Source organism: Homo sapiens, chromosome 1 (assembly GCF_000001405.40).
Source record: "Homo sapiens chromosome 1, GRCh38.p14 Primary Assembly".
In the NCBI taxonomy this organism is placed as follows: domain Eukaryota; kingdom Metazoa; phylum Chordata; class Mammalia; order Primates; family Hominidae; genus Homo; species Homo sapiens.
Window position 1 is genome coordinate 161145085 of NC_000001.11, and position 20641 is coordinate 161165725.

At 48.8% G+C, this 20641-nt stretch overlaps 2 protein-coding genes across 15 annotated transcripts, besides 8 other annotated features; both read left to right on the top strand.

Annotated features, from left to right (window-relative positions):
- Positions 5230-6090: an enhancer, noted in NCBI's record as "H3K27ac-H3K4me1 hESC enhancer chr1:161120104-161120964 (GRCh37/hg19 assembly coordinates)". NCBI's record gives its function as "activates a minimal SCP1, AML or CMV promoter by ChIP-STARR-seq in primed H9 embryonic stem cells {active_cell/tissue: H9 hESC(primed)}" and the evidence as "EXISTENCE:reporter gene assay evidence [ECO:0000049][PMID:30033119]".
- Positions 8476-9256: an enhancer, noted in NCBI's record as "NANOG-H3K27ac-H3K4me1 hESC enhancer chr1:161123350-161124130 (GRCh37/hg19 assembly coordinates)". NCBI's record gives its function as "activates a minimal SCP1, AML or CMV promoter by ChIP-STARR-seq in primed H9 embryonic stem cells {active_cell/tissue: H9 hESC(primed)}" and the evidence as "EXISTENCE:reporter gene assay evidence [ECO:0000049][PMID:30033119]".
- Positions 8476-9693: a biological region, named in NCBI's record as "MED14-independent group 3 enhancer GRCh37_chr1:161123368-161124567".
- Positions 8494-9693: an enhancer, noted in NCBI's record as "MED14-independent group 3 enhancer chr1:161123368-161124567 (GRCh37/hg19 assembly coordinates)". NCBI's record gives its function as "activates an origin of replication core promoter dependent on BRD2, BRD4, P300/CBP and CDK7 cofactors, and independent of MED14, by STARR-seq in HCT116 cells {active_cell/tissue: HCT116}" and the evidence as "EXISTENCE:reporter gene assay evidence [ECO:0000049][PMID:35650434]".
- Positions 8582-8631: an enhancer, noted in NCBI's record as "active region_1978". NCBI's record gives its function as "activates an Ori minimal core promoter by ATAC-STARR-seq in GM12878 lymphoblastoid cells {active_cell/tissue: GM12878}" and the evidence as "EXISTENCE:reporter gene assay evidence [ECO:0000049][PMID:35858748]".
- Positions 8722-8771: an enhancer, noted in NCBI's record as "active region_1979". NCBI's record gives its function as "activates an Ori minimal core promoter by ATAC-STARR-seq in GM12878 lymphoblastoid cells {active_cell/tissue: GM12878}" and the evidence as "EXISTENCE:reporter gene assay evidence [ECO:0000049][PMID:35858748]".
- Positions 8812-9201: an enhancer, noted in NCBI's record as "active region_1980". NCBI's record gives its function as "activates an Ori minimal core promoter by ATAC-STARR-seq in GM12878 lymphoblastoid cells {active_cell/tissue: GM12878}" and the evidence as "EXISTENCE:reporter gene assay evidence [ECO:0000049][PMID:35858748]".
- Positions 8894-13772, top strand: UFC1 (ubiquitin-fold modifier conjugating enzyme 1). 2 transcript variants are annotated; one of them, NM_016406.4, is made up of 6 exons: positions 8894-9036; positions 11866-11933; positions 12170-12233; positions 12533-12609; positions 13037-13127; positions 13328-13772. In NM_016406.4, exons 1-6 carry the CDS (start codon positions 8914-8916, stop codon positions 13406-13408), a joined length of 504 nt encoding a protein of 167 aa, NP_057490.2. In that variant the 5' UTR covers positions 8894-8913; the 3' UTR covers positions 13409-13772. The 2 variants fall into 2 exon arrangements, with proteins under 2 accessions (NP_057490.2, XP_005245311.1); XM_005245254.2 differs by lacking the exon at positions 13037-13127.
- USP21 (ubiquitin specific peptidase 21) lies at positions 14416-20639 on the top strand. Of its 13 annotated transcripts, NM_001014443.3 has the most exons (14): positions 14416-14594; positions 15282-15422; positions 15536-16156; positions 16954-17013; positions 17186-17306; positions 17531-17642; positions 17835-17990; positions 18471-18535; positions 18794-18897; positions 19080-19166; positions 19450-19528; positions 19751-19858; positions 19945-20059; positions 20273-20639. In NM_001014443.3, the coding sequence occupies exons 3-14, from the start codon at positions 15557-15559 to the stop codon at positions 20361-20363; spliced, it is 1698 nt and encodes a 565-aa protein (NP_001014443.1). In that variant the 5' UTR covers positions 14416-14594; positions 15282-15422; positions 15536-15556; the 3' UTR covers positions 20364-20639. The 13 variants fall into 13 exon arrangements, with proteins under 13 accessions (NP_001014443.1, NP_001306776.1, XP_016856527.1 ...); NM_001319847.2 differs by lacking the exon at positions 15282-15422 and having other exon boundaries at positions 14416-14682; XM_017001038.3 differs by having other exon boundaries at positions 15245-15422; positions 19450-19858.
- Positions 14495-14644: a silencer, noted in NCBI's record as "silent region_1470". NCBI's record gives its function as "represses an Ori minimal core promoter by ATAC-STARR-seq in GM12878 lymphoblastoid cells {active_cell/tissue: GM12878}" and the evidence as "EXISTENCE:reporter gene assay evidence [ECO:0000049][PMID:35858748]".

Here is a 20641-nt window from a genome sequence, read left to right on the forward strand (position 1 = left end):
CAACAAGAGTGAAACTCCATCTCAAAAAAAAGCAAATCAGTAAGAAAAATGAATAATAGGCCGGGCGCAGCGACTCACGCCTGTAATCCCAGCACTTTGGGAGGCCGAGGTGGGCGGATCACAAGGTCAGGAGATCGAGACTATTCTGGCTAACGCGGTGAAACCCCGTCTCTACTAAAAGTACAAAAAATTACCCAGTCGTGGTGGCGGGCGCCTATAGTCCCAGCTACTCGTGAGGCTGAGGCAGGAGAATGGTGTGAACCCAGGAGGCGGAGCTTGCAGTGAGCCGAGATCGCGCCACTGCACTCCAGCCTGGGCAACAGTGCAAGACTCCATCTCAAAAAAAAAAAAAAAAGAAAAGAAAAGAAAAATGAATAATAATTTAAAAGGGGGAAAGGAGGTAAGACTTTACAGAACAGAGCTGGGTGTAGCATGCACCTCTATGTAGCTGCTTGAGAGGCTGGGTCCCTTTGAGCCAAGGAGTTCGAGACCAGCCTGGGCAACATAAGGAGATTCTATCTCTAAAATAAATGAATAATAATGAAATATTGTACAGAACAGGAAATACAAATGGAGACTAAACATCTGAAAAGATAGTAGGCCAGGTGCAGTGGCTCATGCCTGTAATCTCAGCACTTTGGGAGGCTGAGGTGGGCAGATTGCTTGAGCTCAGGAGTTCGAGACCAGCCTGGGCAACGTGGCATGAAACTCCGTCTCTACAAAAATATACAAAAATTAGCTGAGCATGGTGGCATGTGCCTGCTGTAGTCCCAGCTACTCGGGAGGCTGAGGTGAAAGGATCACTTGAGCCCAGGAGGCAGAGGTTTCAGTGAGCTGAGATTGCACCACTGCACTCCATCCTGGGTGACAAGAGCAAAACTCTGAAACATAGGTTTCACCGTATATTCTTTTGTCCTTTTTAAATTTGGGGCAAGTGCATGTATTATCTATTCAGAAGTAAATATTTTAAAATCAAATGTATGTAAAAGTTTGTTCGCATTTTATCATATTTGTGCTTTCCCTGCTCTCTCCTTGCCTGCATGTTTAATGTATTCATCCTAAGAGTTCCAGTTCAAAGGCCATCAGCCATATCTGATTCTCTCAGGCATAGTTACTCAGACAGTACTTTGTATATCTCCAGAATAGGGATTTCTTTTTATTATTATTATTATTATTATACTTTAAGTTTTAGGGTACATGTGCACAATATGCAGGTTAGTTACATATGTATACATGTGCCATGCTGATGTGCTGCACCCACTAACTCATCATCTAGCATTAGGTATATCTCCCAATGCTATCCCTCCCCCCTCCCCCTGGGATTTCTTATTTTATGGTAATTGTCACCATATTAGTTTCTCCTACCCAAAGAGGAGGTAGAGATGAAGTCCCATTAATGGTTAAACGCAAAGTCTGTAGTTCCAGAATCCCTAAGGGTGATACCAATACCACAGAAGGTGCTGCACATACCTCAGCCCATTCAAGGGAGGGGGGGTTTAGAGTCCCTGCAGTTCTACTGTGCTTAATGGAGAACCACCAGGCTCTCCTTGTGTTTTCAGAAACAGGTTCATTATTGATCACTGTCTGCCATTTAGGGCCATCAATAGCCCCCTGCTACTGCTCCTAATCGCTCAGATCCCTGCTGCTAATTTTATATTGGCCTAGCGATGGTAGAAAGGTATATCAATTGGTTAAGTGTGTGACTTCTAGAGCCAGGCTGTGCTTGGATTGAATTCCAGGTCTCTACCATTTAATTGCTGTGTGATAGGGCTTTCTTTCATTCAACTTGTACTTCAATTTCTTCACGTGTAAATGAGGATAATGAGAGAACCCACCCCAGGGTTATAACCAGAAATAAAGGAGCTGATGTTTGTAAAATGTTTAGGACAGTGCCAAACACATAATAAGCACCGTATAAATGTTAGCTTAATATTATAATTCTTTTTACCAAGTGATTCTAAGTGTGAACCCAGTTTCTCATAGCATAAGAGACCAAGCTACAATTTACCATAATTCTTTGTTGAAGTCTCCAGGATAATTAAAGGTAATAACAAAAGAGAATAACTTCCAAAACTTACTGTCCATCTACACTAATCTTCTATAACGTGGCTTCCTCCCTATAGCAGAGCTATCATTTCTTTCACCGTTCTGAGTTATTTTCCAGCATATTAGAGTCCAGACCAATGCCTTAAAGAACAGAGGAGCCGGGTACAGTGGCTCACACCTGTAATCCCAGCACTTTGGGAGGCCGAGGCGGGTGGATCACAAGCTCAGGAGATCGAGACCATCCTGGCTAACACGGTGAAACCCCGTCTCTACTAAAAATACAAAAAATTAGCTGGGCGTGGTGGCAGGTGCCTGTAGTCTCAGCTACTCAGGAGGCTGAGACAGGAGAATGGCGTGAACCTGGGAGGCAGAGGTTGCAGTGAGCCGAGATCATGCCACTGCACTCCAGCCTGGGCAACAGAGCGAGACTCTGTCTCACGAAAAAATAAAAAATAGAGAACAGAGGAAAAGCTTCCTCTTTTTTCCCTAATCCAAGATTTATTTCTCTAATCCAGTATTCACTTCTCTTTCTGTCCCAGGAGCTGCCTTTTCCCATGATGACAGACAGTGGGGCTTTCAACTACCTTCAGGGGTTCTCCGATGCACCCAACTGTCCTATTGCATTGCCTACATTTCCTAGAATTGAGCTATTTAATCAATCCTTTTCTATTCTTTTTTTTTTTTTTTTGAGATAGAATGTTGCTCTGTTGCTGAGGCTGGAGTGCAGTAGTGCGATCTCACCTCACTAAAACCTCTGCCTCCTGGGTTCAAGCAATTCACCTGCCTCAGCCTCCAAGTAGCCGGGACTACAGGCACACACCACCACACCCTGCTAATTTTTTGTATTTTAGTAGAGATGGGGTTTCACCATGTTGCCCAGGCTGATCTCAAACTCCTGAGCTCAGGCAATCCACCCACCTCGGTCTCCCAAAGTGCTAGGATCACAGGCGTGAGCCACCACGCCTGGCTGAATTCCTTTTTATAACTATTTAAGGATAATTTCCATGAGGACAGGGAGCCCACCTGCCTATGCACTACTGTATTTCCAATGCCTGGAACATATTAGGAACTCCATAAACATTTGCTCATGAATGAGTTCTTCCTCTGAAAAACAGTGAGGCTCAGGCCTACATACTCTTCCTTATTATTTTTTTTTTTTGAGACGGAGTCTCGCTCTGTCGCCCAGGCTGGAGTGCAGTGGCGCGATCTCAGCTCACTGCAGGCTCCGCCCCCCGGGGTTCACGTCATTCTCCTGCCTCAGCCTCCGAGTAGCTGGGACTACACACTTTTTTTTTTTTTTTTCAGAGATGGAGTCTCTCTCTGTCGCCCAGCCCGGAGTGCAGTGGCGAGATCTCGGCTCACTGCAAGCTCCGCCTCCCGGGTTCACGCCATTCTCCTGCCTCAGCCTCCCAAGTAGCTGGGACTACAGGCGCCCGCCACCACGCCCGGCTAATTTTTTTGTATTTTTAGTAGAGACGGGGTTTCACCATGTTAGCCAGGATGGTCTCGATCACCTGACCTCGTGATCTGCCAGCCTCGGCCTCCCAAAGTGCTGGGATTACAGGCGTGAGCCACCGCGCCCAGCCCCAGTCTTCTCAATTTTAGTTTCTTGTCTCATGTGAGCATTACTTAATAGTAAGTTAAATCCATAGTTTAAACATTTCTCTAAAAGAGGCATGTCCTACTGAGATGCAACTATGCCTATAATAGAGGCAGGCCTATGTTTATAACAGAGACAGTGCTTTGTATTATCATACATTATTATGTGCTATGCTTTACTAAATGGTTTAATAAGGTGATTTTCCGGCCCGGTGCGGTGGCTCAAGCCTGTAATCCCAGCACTTTGGGAGGCCAAGGCGGAAGGATCACTTGAGGTCAGGAGTTCGAGACCAGCCTGGACAATATGGTAAAACCCGTCTCTACTAAAAATACAAAAATTAACTGGGTGTGGTGGTAGGCCCCTGTAATCCCAGCTACTGGGGAGGCTGAGGCAGGAGAATTGCTTGAACGCAGGAGGCGGGGGTTGCAGTGAGCCGAGATTCAGCCATTGCACTCCAGGCTGGGCATCAAGAGTGAAACTCTGTCTCAAGGAAAAAAAATAAAAATTAAAAATGGGGTGGTTTTCCAAAACTATGAAACAAAAACAACATGCAGCTTTATAAAGACAATTTTTCTGGTGCTTACTTTATGTATCAAGATACTCATTGATGTTAAAAATATTGATTGAACATTTAATCTGTGGCAGACGCTATATTAGGTTTTAGAAGCACAGCATTGAACAAGATAGATACACAATCCCTACCCTGATTGAGCTTCCAGGCTATCAAGACAATTATACAATTAATAAAGTGTGATGAGTAGTTACCATAGAAGTATTCTCAGGGATAGAGGTCTTCTGCCTGCACTTGAACAAGAGCAGCGCTATATTGATTATAATTTGGGACTCCAGGTAAGATTTTGTTTGTAAACCTGGCTTCACTACCATATAAAAGTTTGAATACTGCCATTTATTTATCTGAATTTCATCCTAACAGCCTATTATGTAAATGAATGGCCATTGCGTATATAGTTATAACTATATAAGCTTTTTTTTTTTAAATTGAGACAGAGTCTTCCTCTGTCACCCAGGCCGGAATGCAGTGGTTCAATCACGGCTCATTGCAGCCTTGACCTCCCAGGCTCAAGTCATCCTCCCATCTCAACTTCCCAAGTAGATGGGGACACAGGTGCACGCCACCACGTCCAGCTAATTTTTAAACTTTTTGTGGAGACGGGGTCTCTCTGTTTTGCCCAAGCTGGTCTCGAACTTGTGTGCTCAAGAAATCCTCCTCCCTTAGTCTCCCAAAGTGTTGGGATTATAGGTGTCAGCCACCATGCCCAGCCTTATAAGCCTTATCCTCATTTTATAGTTGAGAAAATACAGTTAACAGAGTTAAAGAACAGAGTTAAAGTAACCCTTTTTTTTTTTTGAGATGGAGTCTCGCTCTGTCGCCCAGGCTGGAGTGCAGTGGCCTGATCTCGGCTCACTGCAAGCTCCGCCTCCTGGGTTCATGCCATTCTCCTGGCTCAGCCTCCCGGTAGCTGGGACTACAGGAGCCCACCACCACACCCGGCTAATTTTTTGTATGTTTAGTAGGGACGGGGTTTCACCGTGTTAGCCAGGATGGTCTCGATCTCCTGACCTCGTGATCTGCCCCCCTCGGCCTCCCAAAGTGCTAGGATTACAGGCGTGAGCCACCGCACCCCGCCGCTAAAGTCTTACGACAATTAAATTGCAAAGCCTCATTCCAAATCTCTGCTCTCTATATCACACCACAGTGCCCACACCCAAAATGGAATAAATCTTATTTCCCCAGAAGAGAGATCTCTAGTTAAGAAGTACAAAGCTCTGCCTTAGCCTTATCCAATATCCATTTTTTTTTATGAAAGAGATATATAGCATGCTGATAAAAAACAAAAAACACACCATCATCTCAATCAACATGGAAAAAGCATTTGAAAAACTCCTTTATAAGGCCGGGCGCTTTGGCTCATGTCTGTAATCCTAGCACTTTGGGAGGCCGAGGCAGGCAGATCACCTGAGGTCAGGAGTTCAAGACCAGCCTGGCAGACAGGGTGAAACCCCGTCTCTACAAAAAATGCAAAAATTAGCTGAGCATGGTGGCCTGCGTCTGTGGTCCCAGTTACCGGGTGGCTGAGGCAGGAGAATCACTTGAACCCAGGAGGGGAGGCAGAGATTGCAGTGAGCCGAGATCACACCACTGCCCTCCAGCCTGGGTGACAGAGGGAGACTCCGTCTCAAAACAAAAATCAAAAAACAACTCCCTTTTGAGAAAAACCGTCAACGCCAGAAGGGAACTTCCTCAACCTGACAAGGGCATCTGTGAAAAATCTGCAGCTTAACCTCATATTTAATGGAGAAAGACAGCCGGGCGCGTGGCTCACGCCTGTATTCCCAGCACTTTGGGAGTCCGAGGCGTGTGGATCACGAGGTCAGGAGTTCAAGACCAGCCTGGCCAACATGGTGAAAGCCCGTCTCTACTAAAAATACAAAAAATTAGCTGGGCGTGGTGGCGGGCGCCTGTAATCCCAGCTACTCCGGAGGCTGAGGCAGAGAATTGCTTAAAACCTGGAGGGGCGGAGCTTGCAGTGAGCCGAGATCGCGCCACTCGACTCCGGCCTGGGCGACAGAGGAAGACTCTGTCGCAAAAAAAAAAAAAAAAGGAGAAAGACATTGATTTTCCCCCTAAAGGCAGAACGAGACAAGGATGTCTGCTGGTAACACTGTCTTTTTTTTATTTTGAGACGGAGTCTTGCTCTGTCGCCCAGGCTGGAGTGCAGTGGCGCGATCTCAGCTCACTGCAAGCCCTGCCTCCTGAGTTCACGCCACTCTCCTGCCTCAGCCTCCCGAGTAGCTGGGACTACAGGCACCCGCCACCATGCCCGACTAATTTTTTTGTATTTTTAGTAGAGACGGGGTTTCACCATGTTAGCCAGGATGGTCTCGATTTCCTGACCTTGTGATCCGCCCGCCTCGGCCTCCCAAAGTGCTAGGATTACAGCCGTGAGCCACCGCGCCCCGCCAACACTCTTACTCAATATTGTACTGGAGGCTGAGCACGGTGGCTCACGCCTGTAATCTTAGCACTTTGGGAGGCCGAGCGGGCTGGATCACCTGAGGTCAGGAGCTCGAAGCCAGCCTGGCCAACATGGTGAAACTCCATCTCTACTAAAAGTACAAAATTAGCCGAGCGTGGTGCTGCATGCCTGTAATCCCAGCTACCCGGATGGCTGAGGTAGGAGAATCGCTTGAACCCAGGAGGTGGAGGTTGCAGTAAGCCAAAATCATGTCACTGCACTCTAGCCTGGGTGACAGAGTGAGACTCTGTCTCAAAAACAAAACAAAACAAACAAACAAAAAAACTTACTGCCACAGGCTGGAATGATTCACTGAATAAACAGTGAAATAAACATAAATAAAATAAATAAATATATTTTTAAAAATTTTGGTCTTACTTTGACCCCCCAGGCTGGAGTGAAGTGGTATAATCTTGGCTCATTTGCAATCTCGACCTCCGGGGTTCAAGAGATCCTCCTGCTTCAGCCCCCAAAATAGTTGGGACTACAGGTGCCCGCCACCACTCCGGCTAATTTTTGTATTTTTTGTACAGCTGGGGTTTCACCACGTTGCCTAAGCTATTTTCGAACTCCTGGGCTCAAGCCATCTGCCCACCCCGGCCTCTGAAAGTGCTGGGGTTATCTGCGTGAATCACCGCACCCGGCCAAACAAGATATTTAAATCTATAATTAACGTTTTTAGGTTTTATTTATTTTTTGAGACGGAATCTTGTTCTTGTTGCCCAGGCTGGAGTGCAATGGCAGGATCTCGGCTCATTGTAACCTCCGCCTCCCGGGTTCAAGCGATTCTCCCGCCTCAGCCTCCAAGTAGCCGGGACTACAAGCGTGCGCCACCATGCCTAGCTAATTTTGTATTGTTAGTAGAGACGGGTTTCACCAGTCAGGCTGGTCTGGAGCTCCTGACCTCAAGTGATCCACCTGCCTTGGCCTCCCAAGTTGCTGGGATTACAGGCTTGAGCCACCACGCCAGCCAAACAGGATATTTAAATTAAAGCCAAAATGGCCGGCGCGGTGGCTCACGCCTGTAATCCCAGCACCTTGGGAGGCTGAGGCAGGTGGATCACCTGAGGTCAGGAGTTCAAGACCAACCTGGCCAACATGGCGAAACCCGGTCTCTACTAAAAATACAAAATCAGCCGGGCGTGGTAGCACATGCCTGTAATCCCAGCTACTCAGGACGCTGAGGCAGGAGAATCAATTGAACCCGGGAGGCGGAGGTTGCGGTGAGCCGAGATCATGCCATTGCACTCCAGCCTGGGCAACAAGAGTGAAACTCGGTCTCCAAAAAAAAAAAAAAAAAAAGCAAAAATTAATGTGTTTAGATTTTAAGTCCAACTGGAGTTTGTTTATTGTTTCCCCACAAGTAATCCCAGCACTTTGGGGAGGCTGGGGCAGGAGGATCGCTTGAGCCCGGGAGATGGAAGATGCAGTAAGCTATGATCGTACCACTGTACTCCAGCCTGGGCAACAGATTGAGACACTGTCTAAAAAAAAAAAAGTCTAGGACTCAGTGAATGGCTAGACTAAGGCAGAAATCTTGCAGGGATTTGTCTTTTGATTCTGCATGGTTTCTAATCTTTATCAGGAGTTAAACATCCTTCTACAGGATAACTGCATCTAGAGGCAGGACTATATATAAGCAAAGGAAAAGTTCTTCGAAGAGGAAACACGAATCGCTCGTTTTAGGAAGTCAGTGCCTTGAAAAGCGCCTTGGGGTTGGGGGCTCGGGGCTGGGGGAGGGATAGCATTAGGAGAAATACCTAATGTAAATGACGAGTTGATGGGTGCAGCAAACCAACATGGCACAAGTATACCTATGTATCAAACTTGCACGTTGTGCACATGTACTCTAGAACTTAAGGTATAATAAAAATAAATAAATAAGTAAAAATGCCTTCAGCAGCCTGAAGTTCTAAGAGCTTTCCAAGTTTGGGAAGGTGTCCGGGTTTTCTGCGATTACTTCTCTGAGCATGAACGGAAGTCACCCTTTGTGCCTTATGCGGTGATTTTAATGATAGGTGTCATATATAGGACGGAGTAATCTGTTTACATTCTGTTCTTCTCGATGCACTCACAAGCGGGTAACTAGGTGACAAGAAAACAAAGATCTTATTCAAAAGAGGTCTTACAGCAACCCAACGTCTCATCTTCCCATAGTAAAGATGACGGCGCCTTGAGGTAAGCTACAGGCAACACCACTTCCGCGTTTCTCTTGCGCCCTGGTCCAAGATGGCGGATGAAGCCACGCGACGTGTTGTGTCTGAGATCCCGGTGCTGAAGACTAACGCCGGACCCCGAGATCGTGAGTTGTGGGTGCAGCGACTGAAGGAGGAATATCAGTCCCTTATCCGGGTTAGTTGTGTTTCTACAGTCTAACGCGTAGCATAAGGGTTGGGAGAAATCAGGTGTCCTCAATAATAGGCTCCGTGTGGAAGCCGCTTCCGGTTTTTAAGTTTAACGCCCAAATTCATAGAAATGGGACTATTGTGGGGCTCGGGGACTAAGGAGGGATGGTGGGGAGAGGGCAAAAAAGACTCGGGTGAGGTGCACAGTGGGGCCAGACCTTGCGGCTAAAAGCAGCAGTTATTTTAGGGATACGCTTCCCCAGAAGGTGACGTGTCTCCCTGGCTACAGGTGTTTGTTCACCTGGATGTGAACAAAAATCCTCAGGGCGCCAACTCCCAGTCCGCATCTCTCTGCCCCCTTCTTCACTCTTCACTGTTTTGTTTGTTTGTTTGACGGAGTCTCGCTCTGTTGCTAGGCTGGAGTGCAGTGGCGCGATCTCGGCTCACTGCAACCTCCGACTCCCGGGTTCAAGCGAGTCTCCTGCCTCAGCCTCCTGAGTAGCTGGGACTACAGGCGCGCGCCACCACACCCAGCTAATTTTTGTATTTTCAGTAGAGACGGGGTTTCACCGTGTTGGCCAGGATGGTCTCGATCCCCTGACCTCGTGATCCTGATCCACCCGCCTCGGCCTCCCAAAGTGCTGAGATTACAGGCGTGAGCCACCGCGCCTGGCCTCACTCTTCACTCTTTCAAGCCACATTAGGGCTGAAAATTCAAGTAGGTGTTAACTACAGAGAGTTGGGGAGTTTAGCTCATAGTTAGAAACGGGCTGTCTTCTCAGTTATCTCTACTGTGGAAGGTGAGAAAAGTTTGTCTTCCTTGTAGTTTCTGCCTGCTTCAAAGACCAGCAGTTCTAGTTCTCCTACCTCATGTATTCATTCACTAAAAAAAAAAAATTACTGTGCATATAGAACCTAGGGAGGAGATACCAAGCCGAATAAGGAGGAACTTACTGAGGTAGACAAAACCAGATCATTATAATACAGTGTTTAAGTGGAGAGAGACTGAGACAGATATGGACAGATATAAAGCGAGAAATGGCTAGGATGTTTTGAGAGCATAAGAGGAGACATCCAGTTTGCATTCGGTCACGGAAGGTTTCCTGGAAGAGGTAATGCTTGAGCTGAAACTTAAAGAGTAAACATAAGCTAGCCTGATAAAACATAAGAGTAGAAGGACATTCAAGCCAAAAGGGACAGCATGAGCAAAGGCATAGAATCTAGAAACGGCACAGGCACCAGCATGATGTGTTTGAAGAAACAAAGTAGCTCAGAGTTGTTAGAGCATCAAATGTGAGGCAGGGAATGGTAGACAAAGCTAGGAGACATATTTGAGCACTTGAATTTTCTCTTGGAGGCTTTGGGATACCGTTAAAAGTTATTAAGCTGAGGAATTACATGGCCGATTTGGGTTTAGATCAGTCACATTGGCAATAAGGGGAAAATACAATTGACAGGGACAAGACTGAAGGTAAGAGACAAGTTAGGCTGTCATTAATCTCAGCGAAACAAAAGGCAATCTAAACTAGGCAGTTGTGAGGATAGAGAGGAGAGGTAGATTTGTAGAATATTCAGAAGGTAAAATTAGCATAACATGGATTAGTGTAGTAAGGGATAGGGAGGGTCAAAGATGATTCCCAGGTTTTTGCCTTGGGTGAATGCTCATACTGCCACCTGAAATTGATAATTCAGGAGGATAATTCAGGAAGTGTATCCAAAGGAATATAAAAAATTCCAGATGGAAATGCTGAGTTTGAAGTACCTGTGAAATGAAGGTCAAAACGTCAACATACAGTTGGATACTAAAGGCTGAAGTTCTGAGGAAAGATCTGGACCAAAGATGAAAATCTGGGAGTCATTAGCCTGTGGGTGTTAGTTGAAACCAGGACTATATGAGGCTAGAAGGGAGTTACCCAGGGAAGGAGTCTATCATTAAATGAGTTGTGGGCTGAGGGCAGACACTATCAGAGAAGTGAGAGGAGAATCCAGATGGTATCTTCAGGTCTTTTGTGCTTGCTAAATTGAGTGGAGCCCATTCTATTCTCTGTTCTGGGCAGACCCCCACTTACCAGTATAGCCTTGTCTTCAGCTTTGCTAATGTTAGAAAAATTAGGTAAACATATTAAGAAAAAGTAGGCTGGGCGTGGTGGCTCACGCCTCTAATCCCAGCACTTTGGGAGGCCAAGGTGGGCGGATCACGAGGTCAGGAGATCGAGACCATCCTGGCTAATATGGTGAAACCCCATCTCTACTAAAAAAAAAAAAAATACAAAAAATTAGCCGGGCATGGTGGCGGGCACCTGTAGTTCCAGCTACTTGAGAGGCTGAGGCAGGAGAATGGCGTGAACCCAGGCAATGGAGCTTGCAGTGAGCCGAGATTGCGCCACTGCACTCCAGTCTGGGTGACAGAGCGAGACTGTCTCAAAAAAAAAAAAAAAAAAAAACCGGCTGGGTGTAGTGGCTCACGCCTGTAATCCTAGCACTTTGGGAGGCCAAGGCAGGTTGATCACCTGGGGTCAGGAGTTCGAGACCAGCCTGGCCAACATGGCAAAACCCCGTCTCTACTAAAAATACAAAAATTATCCGGGCATGGTGGTGCACGCCTGTAATCCCAGCTACTCAGGAGACTGAGGAAGGAGAATCGCTTGAACCTGGGAGGTGGAAGTTGCAGTGAACCCAGATTGCGCCACTGCACTCCAGCCTGTGCGACGGGAGCGAGATTCCATCTCAATAAAAATAAAAAATAAAAAAAATAACCACATACTTTTCTTTTGAGGAGAGGGGGACTGCCCTTGGCCCCAACTACTCTCTCAAAGACCTCATTCTCTGCTTTCAGTATGTGGAGAACAACAAGAATGCTGACAACGATTGGTTCCGACTGGAGTCCAACAAGGAAGGAACTCGGTAGGTAGACCCTCTTGGGAGGTGTGGGGTGGGAGTCTTATATGAGTTAGGCAATTTGGTATCCTAGCGCCCACTACCAAAGCTGCCCTGTCACATGTTAGCTGTCTCCACTCCCACAGCGCCAGAGTTCCCCAGTTCCCATCCTATGAGTCTCCCAGGCTGGTGGCCTAAGCCAAGATATCATTTGAGTACTGGAAGAATAGGCAAATTGGACTGAGGTTTGGTCTTTGTTACAGGTGGTTTGGAAAATGCTGGTATATCCATGACCTCCTGAAATATGAGTTTGACATCGAGTTTGACGTGAGTGTGATAGAGTGGGAAATATGAAGGTTAGTAGAAGGGGAGGGATTAGATGATGGGTAACAAGCTATCCTTTCTTGAAGGGACCAAAGAAAACTTTAAAAATGGGAGAGAAAAGCTGAGGTTTGAGGCAAGCATAAGTTATATTTACTCATCTCCACATCCAGAATCCTGGTATGGATGTGCTCCTTGGGGAGTTTTACTTAACATTTCAGTTTAACCAAGAAATATGTATGTCTGATTATATTAGTTCCTTTCTATCCTGATTCTGTTTTATTAAGGTTTTATAATTTCTCCAGATTCCTATCACATATCCTACTACTGCCCCAGAAATTGCAGTTCCTGAGCTGGATGGAAAGACAGCAAAGATGTACAGGTAGGACTGAATAGGAGATGGCAAAGAGTCAAAGAAAGCCTTAAGGAAGAACTTCGTGGCGGGAGGGAGAGCATCAGGAAGAATAGCTAATGGATGCTTGGCTTGATGTCTGGGTGATGGGATGATCTATGTGTAAATCACCATGGCACGTTTACCTATGTAACAAACCTATACATCCTGCATGTGTACCTCTGAACTTAAAAGATGTAAGGAAAAAAAAAAAAAGGAAGAACTTTGGAGGCAGAGATTTTCCCAGGGTCTGCTGGCCTAGTGGGGTGCCAGGCCCTCCTTTGCTGAGCCTAAGCAAAGTACTTAGCTGAACTTGTTCTCAATTCTGATCACTAGTAGTCTTCCTATGCCCCCAAGAGGCTGCTGTGCTTTATGGTAAACTTTGCATGTCAACACCTTCTTCATGTCCCTCTCATAGGGGTGGCAAAATATGCCTGACGGATCATTTCAAACCTTTGTGGGCCAGGAATGTGCCCAAATTTGGACTAGCTCATCTCATGGCTCTGGGGGTAAGTTTTGTGTATTTGGCATAAAAGGAGAAAGAGGGACTTAGGCCCTGAGCAGTACAAGAAAAGCAGCTAAGAATAAAAGGAATAACAGTGATGTCCCTTAAGCATGTTCCCCCAGAATCTGTCTCCAGGAAGGAGCTTCTAATGGAACAAGAAGCATTGACTGGTAGTAATCTCACAGGATTTTCCTTGTATTGCAGCTGGGTCCATGGCTGGCAGTGGAAATCCCTGATCTGATTCAGAAGGGCGTCATCCAACACAAAGAGAAATGCAACCAATGAAGAATCAAGCCACTGAGGCAGGGCAGAGGGACCTTTGATAGGCTACGATACTATTTTCCTGTGCATCACACTTAACTCATCTAACTGCTTCCCCGGACACCCTCCACCTCTAGTTGTTACTAAGTAGCTGCAGTAGGCATTGCTGGGGAAGAAACAAACACACACCAAACAGTACTGCTACTTAGTTTCTAAGGCTGCACAGGGAAGGGAAAGACTGGGCTTTGGACAATCTAGAGGTAATTTATATCCGCCCCCAGGTGGAGCAACATGCGATTCTGGAGGCACGGGGGTAACTGAAAGTGAGTACATATAGTCTTTCTGGTTTCTGGAGATAACCCATCAATAAAAGCTGCTTCCTCTGGTAGCCTGTGGTTCTCATTGGGAGCTGTTAACAGAGGGCAAGTGGGCTGAAACCTGAGGCACATGAACAGCTACGCCGGGTTGGGTTGGGAAAGAGTCGGAAATAGGGGATGCTCTGGTCAGGAGTGGGAATGAAATGTTGACTGTTCCCCCTGCTGCTCAGATCTACCTTTGTCCTTTAGTGGTGAGCCATGCTTTGCCCTACCGTGTTAGCCTGCAAGAAGTGGTTTTGCCGGACCAGCACTTCCCGCCCTCCAGGGATCTTCCCAGCCCTCTGTGAAGTGCTAGATGCTTCTCCACTGGTCTGCGGGCTGGACCCAGGCCTGCAGTTTGCCATACTTGCGCCCCTGCTGTTTGGGAAGGATCTGTGCTGTAAGCCTCGCGGCCATACTACGACTGTCAGATCTCCATCCCTATGGGCTATAGGATGGGGCGACGGCACCCTATACCTCAGGGACTTGCTTTGGAGTCATGGATTAAAGACCTCTCTGGGCAGCGTTGAGAACCAGCGACCCTAAACTTGGCTGCGTTTCCATGGTGTCGATCGCGGAGCCGTGGGGGCGGGCTCACGCAAGCGCCAAGGGACCGGTGGGAGGAGTTCGGGTGTGGATGCGCAGGCGCTTTGAGAGACGGTGAAGCCGGTGGCCGGTGGCCGGGCGGGACCAACAAAGATGGCGGCGGCCCCTGCGGCGGGAGCGATCTGGGCAACGGCTGCGGCTAAAGCTGCAGCCGGGCCCACGGGGGGGCTGCACGGGGGTAGTAGGGGGTGGCCCTGAACTGGGGCCTGGCCCTGGCTGGCCTCTCCCGCCGCCTCACTGGGGGACAGGTACGGGCCGGGGCGTTATGGCATGGCGGGGTGTGGGGGGGCGCAGAGGGAAGACTGCTCCAGACCCGAGAGGACACTCTCCACAAAGGCGCGTGGGGCCCGGCGGGGCCTGGGAGAACTGGGCTGGAGGGACAGCATCCCTGGACCGCGGGGAATACGCCGCCGGATTCCGTAGCCAATCAGCGGTCTCGGCCTTTCTGCCCTCGAGGGGGGCGGACCCGGCTAAAGCCCTGCTGTGGTGGGAGAAGTGCAGAGATTAAGGGTCAAGGAGTTGTTCGTCCTCCATCCCCGACTACTGCTTTCTGAACCTCGACACCATGTCGGAGGTCGGAGGTGGGGGAGGGAATGGATCGTAAGTCACCCATATAGTCTGCTTCATTTGCAGCCCAGAGAGGCAGGGATTCGAGGATGGAGGGCTGTCTTTTGGGCTGTTATTCTTGCATCTACACTACCATTTGGCTAGGGTCTTAAGTGACCCGAGGCACATCCTACTTTACTAGCCGGGTATGGGGTCCCATGTTACGTTAGAGCCGAGATAGGAGTTATCACTGGCTTTTCAGTAAAGATGTGTTCTGCAGGGAGGGGTCGGGAGTATAGAAAGGGTCAAAGCCATGGGCTGCTTATCTTTCATTCATTTGTTTACCCAATAGATACTAAGTATTTACTTTGTACCAAACACGATGCCAGGTACTGGGGATACGATGGCTGATTCGATAGATCTGGTTCCTGCCCTCAGTGCGTATACTGCTCCCCACTTTCGTTGATGTGGTAGTGGTGATGACTGAGCCAACCACCTAATGTGGAAATGAGAGGACAGCAAGATTGTGGGTATGGAATGGGGCAAAGCAATAAGGGAAAATTAGTGTGGCAGGGTTCAGTACAGCAGCCTGGGTTCCCATTTCCCCCCATATTCAAATGCTGACACTCTCTTCTCCTCCCAGGTCCAGCCTGTGGTGTCCACAATGCCCCAGGCCTCTGAGCACCGCCTGGGCCGTACCCGAGAGCCACCTGTTAATATCCAGCCCCGAGTGGGATCCAAGCTACCATTTGCCCCCAGGGCCCGCAGCAAGGAGCGCAGAAACCCAGCCTCTGGGCCAAACCCCATGTTACGACCTCTGCCTCCCCGGCCAGGTCTGCCTGATGAACGGCTCAAGAAACTGGAGCTGGGACGGGGACGGACCTCAGGCCCTCGTCCCAGAGGCCCCCTTCGAGCAGATCATGGGGTTCCCCTGCCTGGCTCACCACCCCCAACAGTGGCTTTGCCTCTCCCATCTCGGACCAACTTAGCCCGTTCCAAGTCTGTGAGCAGTGGGGACTTGCGTCCAATGGGGATTGCCTTGGGAGGGCACCGTGGCACCGGAGAGCTTGGGGCTGCACTGAGCCGCTTGGCCCTCCGGCCTGAGCCACCCACTTTGAGACGTAGCACTTCTCTCCGCCGCCTAGGGGGCTTTCCTGGACCCCCTACCCTGTTCAGCATACGGACAGAGCCCCCTGCTTCCCATGGCTCCTTCCACATGATATCCGCCCGGTCCTCTGAGCCTTTCTACTCTGATGACAAGATGGTGAGGACTTGCCACACACATGGCCTTCATGCCCATGTTCCTCTGTGCTTTCCTGCCATCCTCTGCCTTTTCTGTCCCCCATTTCCCTGAAGTTCCTTTCTCAGCCCTTCATTACAGCAGTTTGGACATGCCTCTCCCTTGCTTAAATACCCTTGAGCCTCCTAGACCCTTTTTTGGGTTGTTGGTGACTCTTCAGCATGGTGTGCCATTTCGGTCCCCAGGGGATTACCCCAACTATTTAGAATTCTTCTTTGGGTCCCCAGGCCCTTCCTTTCCCTTGCTTGCACCTTCTCTACTGGGACTCTGCCTAGGCCTAATTAATCTCTGGAGCTAAAGAGAGGCAGGCACAGAACATCTTAGCAAACGTGGTTGCACATTTTCTGAGCTAAGTAAGCTAGGCTGATTGCAATTGGAGCCAGCAGGAGAAGGGCAAGAAGGGGCCACGGGGGCAGGAGGGGGTTTTGGGGGCAGAAAGGTGGGAGTGGTGAGCAGCTGGGCAACCATGCCGGTGCTGGGGGAGTTGCCCCAGGAGCTGCAACGTCAGCTAGCTGAGCAGAGGAGTAAGTGGGCAACAGGTGGGACAGCCATGGCTGAGTCCGTGGTACATTCAGCTGTGATGGGCTTACTGCTCATGACCAGTGAGGTAGGGAGACTAGAATACCTAGTGAGGGGAATAGGGTAGAGTTTGGGGATGAAACATGCATGGGATGGGGGAGGCAGTGGGCAGCATGCTGTTGAAAGGTTAAAGTGCCAGGTAGGATATATAGGAACTTGCCGATTGTACTCTGACCTTCCAGGCTCATCACACACTCCTTCTGGGCTCTGGTCATGTTGGCCTTCGAAACCTGGGAAACACGGTGAGAGCTATTCTCCTATCTTTCCTCTCTAAAAGGAATGTGAAATGGTGCTGGGGGTGGGGAAAACCCACGAGCTTGGGGAAGGCATGTGGAAGGAGAGCTCTGAAGCTCTTCTAAGGCTTCCTGGGCAGTGGTCTGGAGAGATAACAGCAGTGTCCCTACTGCTCCCCAGTGCTTCCTGAATGCTGTGCTGCAGTGTCTGAGCAGCACTCGACCTCTTCGGGACTTCTGTCTGAGAAGGGACTTCCGGCAAGAGGTGCCTGGAGGAGGCCGAGCCCAAGAGCTCACTGAAGGTGGGGCAACAACTCCTGCTCCCTCTGTTCAAGTCCCTTTTTCCCCAACCACTTGCAGGTCCATCTGCCACTGGTGGTGGCCCCCAACCCTTAAATCTGGCAGTTGTATCTACTTTTCCCAGTGCCTACTTTCCTAAAGGTTATTTTCTACCCTCTGAGCCACCTTTTGCTTGCCTCTTCCAGACATTAACCTTTGTTTGCCTTCCCCACTCCCATCCCAACAGCCTTTGCAGATGTGATTGGTGCCCTCTGGCACCCTGACTCCTGCGAAGCTGTGAATCCTACTCGATTCCGAGCTGTCTTCCAGAAATATGTTCCCTCCTTCTCTGGATACAGGTGGGAGAGCTGGAGGCTATGGGATTTCTCTCTGGCCATGTCTGGGGGTAGGGCCAAGCAAGGGCCCTGGCAGCATTGTTCTGAGCCTTGAGATGTTCTTCATCCAGGAAGTGGGGACCAATATCTGGGCAGGGAATAGTGTCTGTGGACTAGGAGAGGAGTCAGTTGCCCATACTCTTTGTCTGGCTGTAGCCAGCAGGATGCCCAAGAGTTCCTGAAGCTCCTCATGGAGCGGCTACACCTTGAAATCAACCGCCGAGGCCGCCGGGCTCCACCGATACTTGCCAATGGTCCAGTTCCCTCTCCACCCCGCCGAGGAGGGGCTCTGCTAGAAGAACCTGAGTTAAGGTAAGGGTCGTTCCCTCTACCTCCTTTCCCCGTAGTTTATCAGCATCATTCACACTTCATAGAACTAAACTAGTAAAGATTGAAGATGTAGGGTCCAGGGAAACCCTTTAGTATAGAAAATAGTATGAGAAGCAACATAGAAGTAGAAGGAAGGAAGGAAGAGGGGGAGTCTAAGGGAGCAGATGGAGGCAGAAGATCATGCTAGGGATGTCACCAAATTGAAGAAGGGGATAATTCATTTACAGGTAGAGGAAGACAGCATATTCTTCCCTTATGTACATTCCTTTCTTTTCCTCTCACCTCGGATTTCCCTAGAAAGTTCATTGAGGCATTATTCTTTTGACTTTTCCTTGAAATTTAGGGAAGGAGCAGGGGTGTGGATGGGGAGTAGGGCTCTGTAGGTTGTTTCAGTGGGTGTTGGGGGTGCCCAGTGTTCCTGCTGTCTCATGGGTGCTCCCCACTTCCTTTGATCTGTGGTAGTGATGATGACCGAGCCAACCTAATGTGGAAACGTTACCTGGAGCGAGAGGACAGCAAGATTGTGGGTATGGAATGGGGCAAAGCAATGAGGGAAAATTAGTGTGTGAGGGGGGTACAGGCTTGGGGGGAAAAATCGATACTATCAAGGGGTATGGGAACAAGACTGGATGATGCAAATGTGAAGCTGTGTGAAGAGTTGATTAGGAGTGTTGGTAGTGGGAAAGGAAGGGTCAAGCAAAGGGGCAGGAAGAGATGGAAATCCAAGAAATCATCTCATAACATCCAACAATGACCTTTTCTCCTGTCCCTGTGCTTCTGTCTAGACCTGTTTGTGGGCCAGTTGAAAAGTTGTCTCAAGTGCCAGGCCTGTGGGTATCGCTCCACGACCTTCGAGGTTTTTTGTGACCTGTCCCTGCCCATCCCCAAGGTGGGATTCCAGAGGATTCCGGGGTGGACAGGACAGGGGCTCTGTGACCCAAGCCTACCCACCCCCAGAGTGTGGGCGGGAACCCTGTGGGTTTCTGGAGCAGAACTGAAGCCTGGATTGATTGAGAAGAGTTGGAAAAGGAAATTCAGAACATGTTGACCTTTCTTCCCCTTTTCCCCCAGAAAGGATTTGCTGGGGGCAAGGTGTCTCTGCGGGATTGTTTCAACCTTTTCACTAAGGAAGAAGAGCTAGAGTCGGAGAATGCCCCAGTATGTGGAGGTTCACAAGGGATACAGTAAGGGTGGGAGACCTGGGGGGACTCCATGTGGATAAAAGGGATTGCATGATGTCTTCATATGGGGAATAATATTTATGTATCTGGGTTTGTGTTGGAGTCTCAGATCTGTTCTAGTACTCCTAGAGCAAAGGGGAGAAGCCAAGAGGATCCAGCTGTAATGAAGAGCATACTAAATTTGTATGTGGATCGGGGTGTCAGAAAAGCCAATTGAGGTTAGGAGCATATTAACCTAACACTGTTTGCCATTTATTCAGGTGTGTGACCGATGTCGGCAGAAAACTCGAAGTACCAAAAAGTTGACAGTACAAAGATTCCCTCGAATCCTCGTGCTCCATATCCTAATCTTCAGATTCTTACTTCTCTTAGGATACCTCCCATACATTCTCTTTCCTCCATGTTTCCAGAGAATTGAATTTTCCTTAGGAAAAGTCTGCCACCCACTTTTCCACAAGATGCTCCCAGTGTGTCGGGAGTGGGGAGAGGACAGCTTTCAGGATAGAAGAAGTTCCCCTCAGAGGCCCACTGCCTCCCAAATGCTCCTTAACCAGGGCTTAGATCTGAATCGATTTTCTGCCTCCCGAGGCTCCATCAAAAAAAGTTCAGTAGGTGTAGACTTTCCACTGCAGCGACTGAGCCTAGGGGACTTTGCCAGTGACAAAGCCGGTGAGTCTGGTGGGGAAAGTCCTAAGGAGCCAAAGGAGTGGGGGCACAGCTCTGATTATAGAACTTGATCATCTCCAACCCCGCAGGAAGTCCTGTATACCAGCTGTATGCCCTTTGCAACCACTCAGGCAGCGTCCACTATGGCCACTACACAGCCCTGTGCCGGTGCCAGACTGGTTGGCATGTCTACAATGACTCTCGGTGAGAATAGCCTCCTATTTACATCCTGCCCCATTCCCACTCAGCCCTGACACCCTCCCCTTCTATGAAGCTCCAGGAGAGCAGAGTGCCAGGTGAAAGGAGAGGTGGAGGTCTTGCCTGATCATTTCCTGGATGCTCTGAGGTTCGGTCTTGTAGGGAGAAGGGAGTAAACAGGAATGACCACAACCCTTTCCCGATCTCCTTTTTTCCTAGTGTCTCCCCTGTCAGTGAAAACCAGGTGGCATCCAGCGAGGGCTACGTGCTGTTCTACCAACTGATGCAGGAGCCACCCCGGTGCCTGTGACACCTCTAAGCTCTGGCACCTGTGAAGCCCTTTAAACACCCTTAAGCCCCAGGCTCCCCGTTTACCTCAGAGACGTCTATTTTTGTGTCTTTTTAATCGGGGAGGGGGGAGGGGGTGGTTGTAGCTCCATTATTTTTTTTATTAAAAAATACCCTTCCACCTGGAGGCTCCCTTGTCTCCCAGCCCCATGTACAAAGCTCACCAAGCCCCTGCCCATGTACAGCCCCCAGACCCTCTGCAATATCACTTTTTGTGAATAAATTTATTAAGAAAAAATG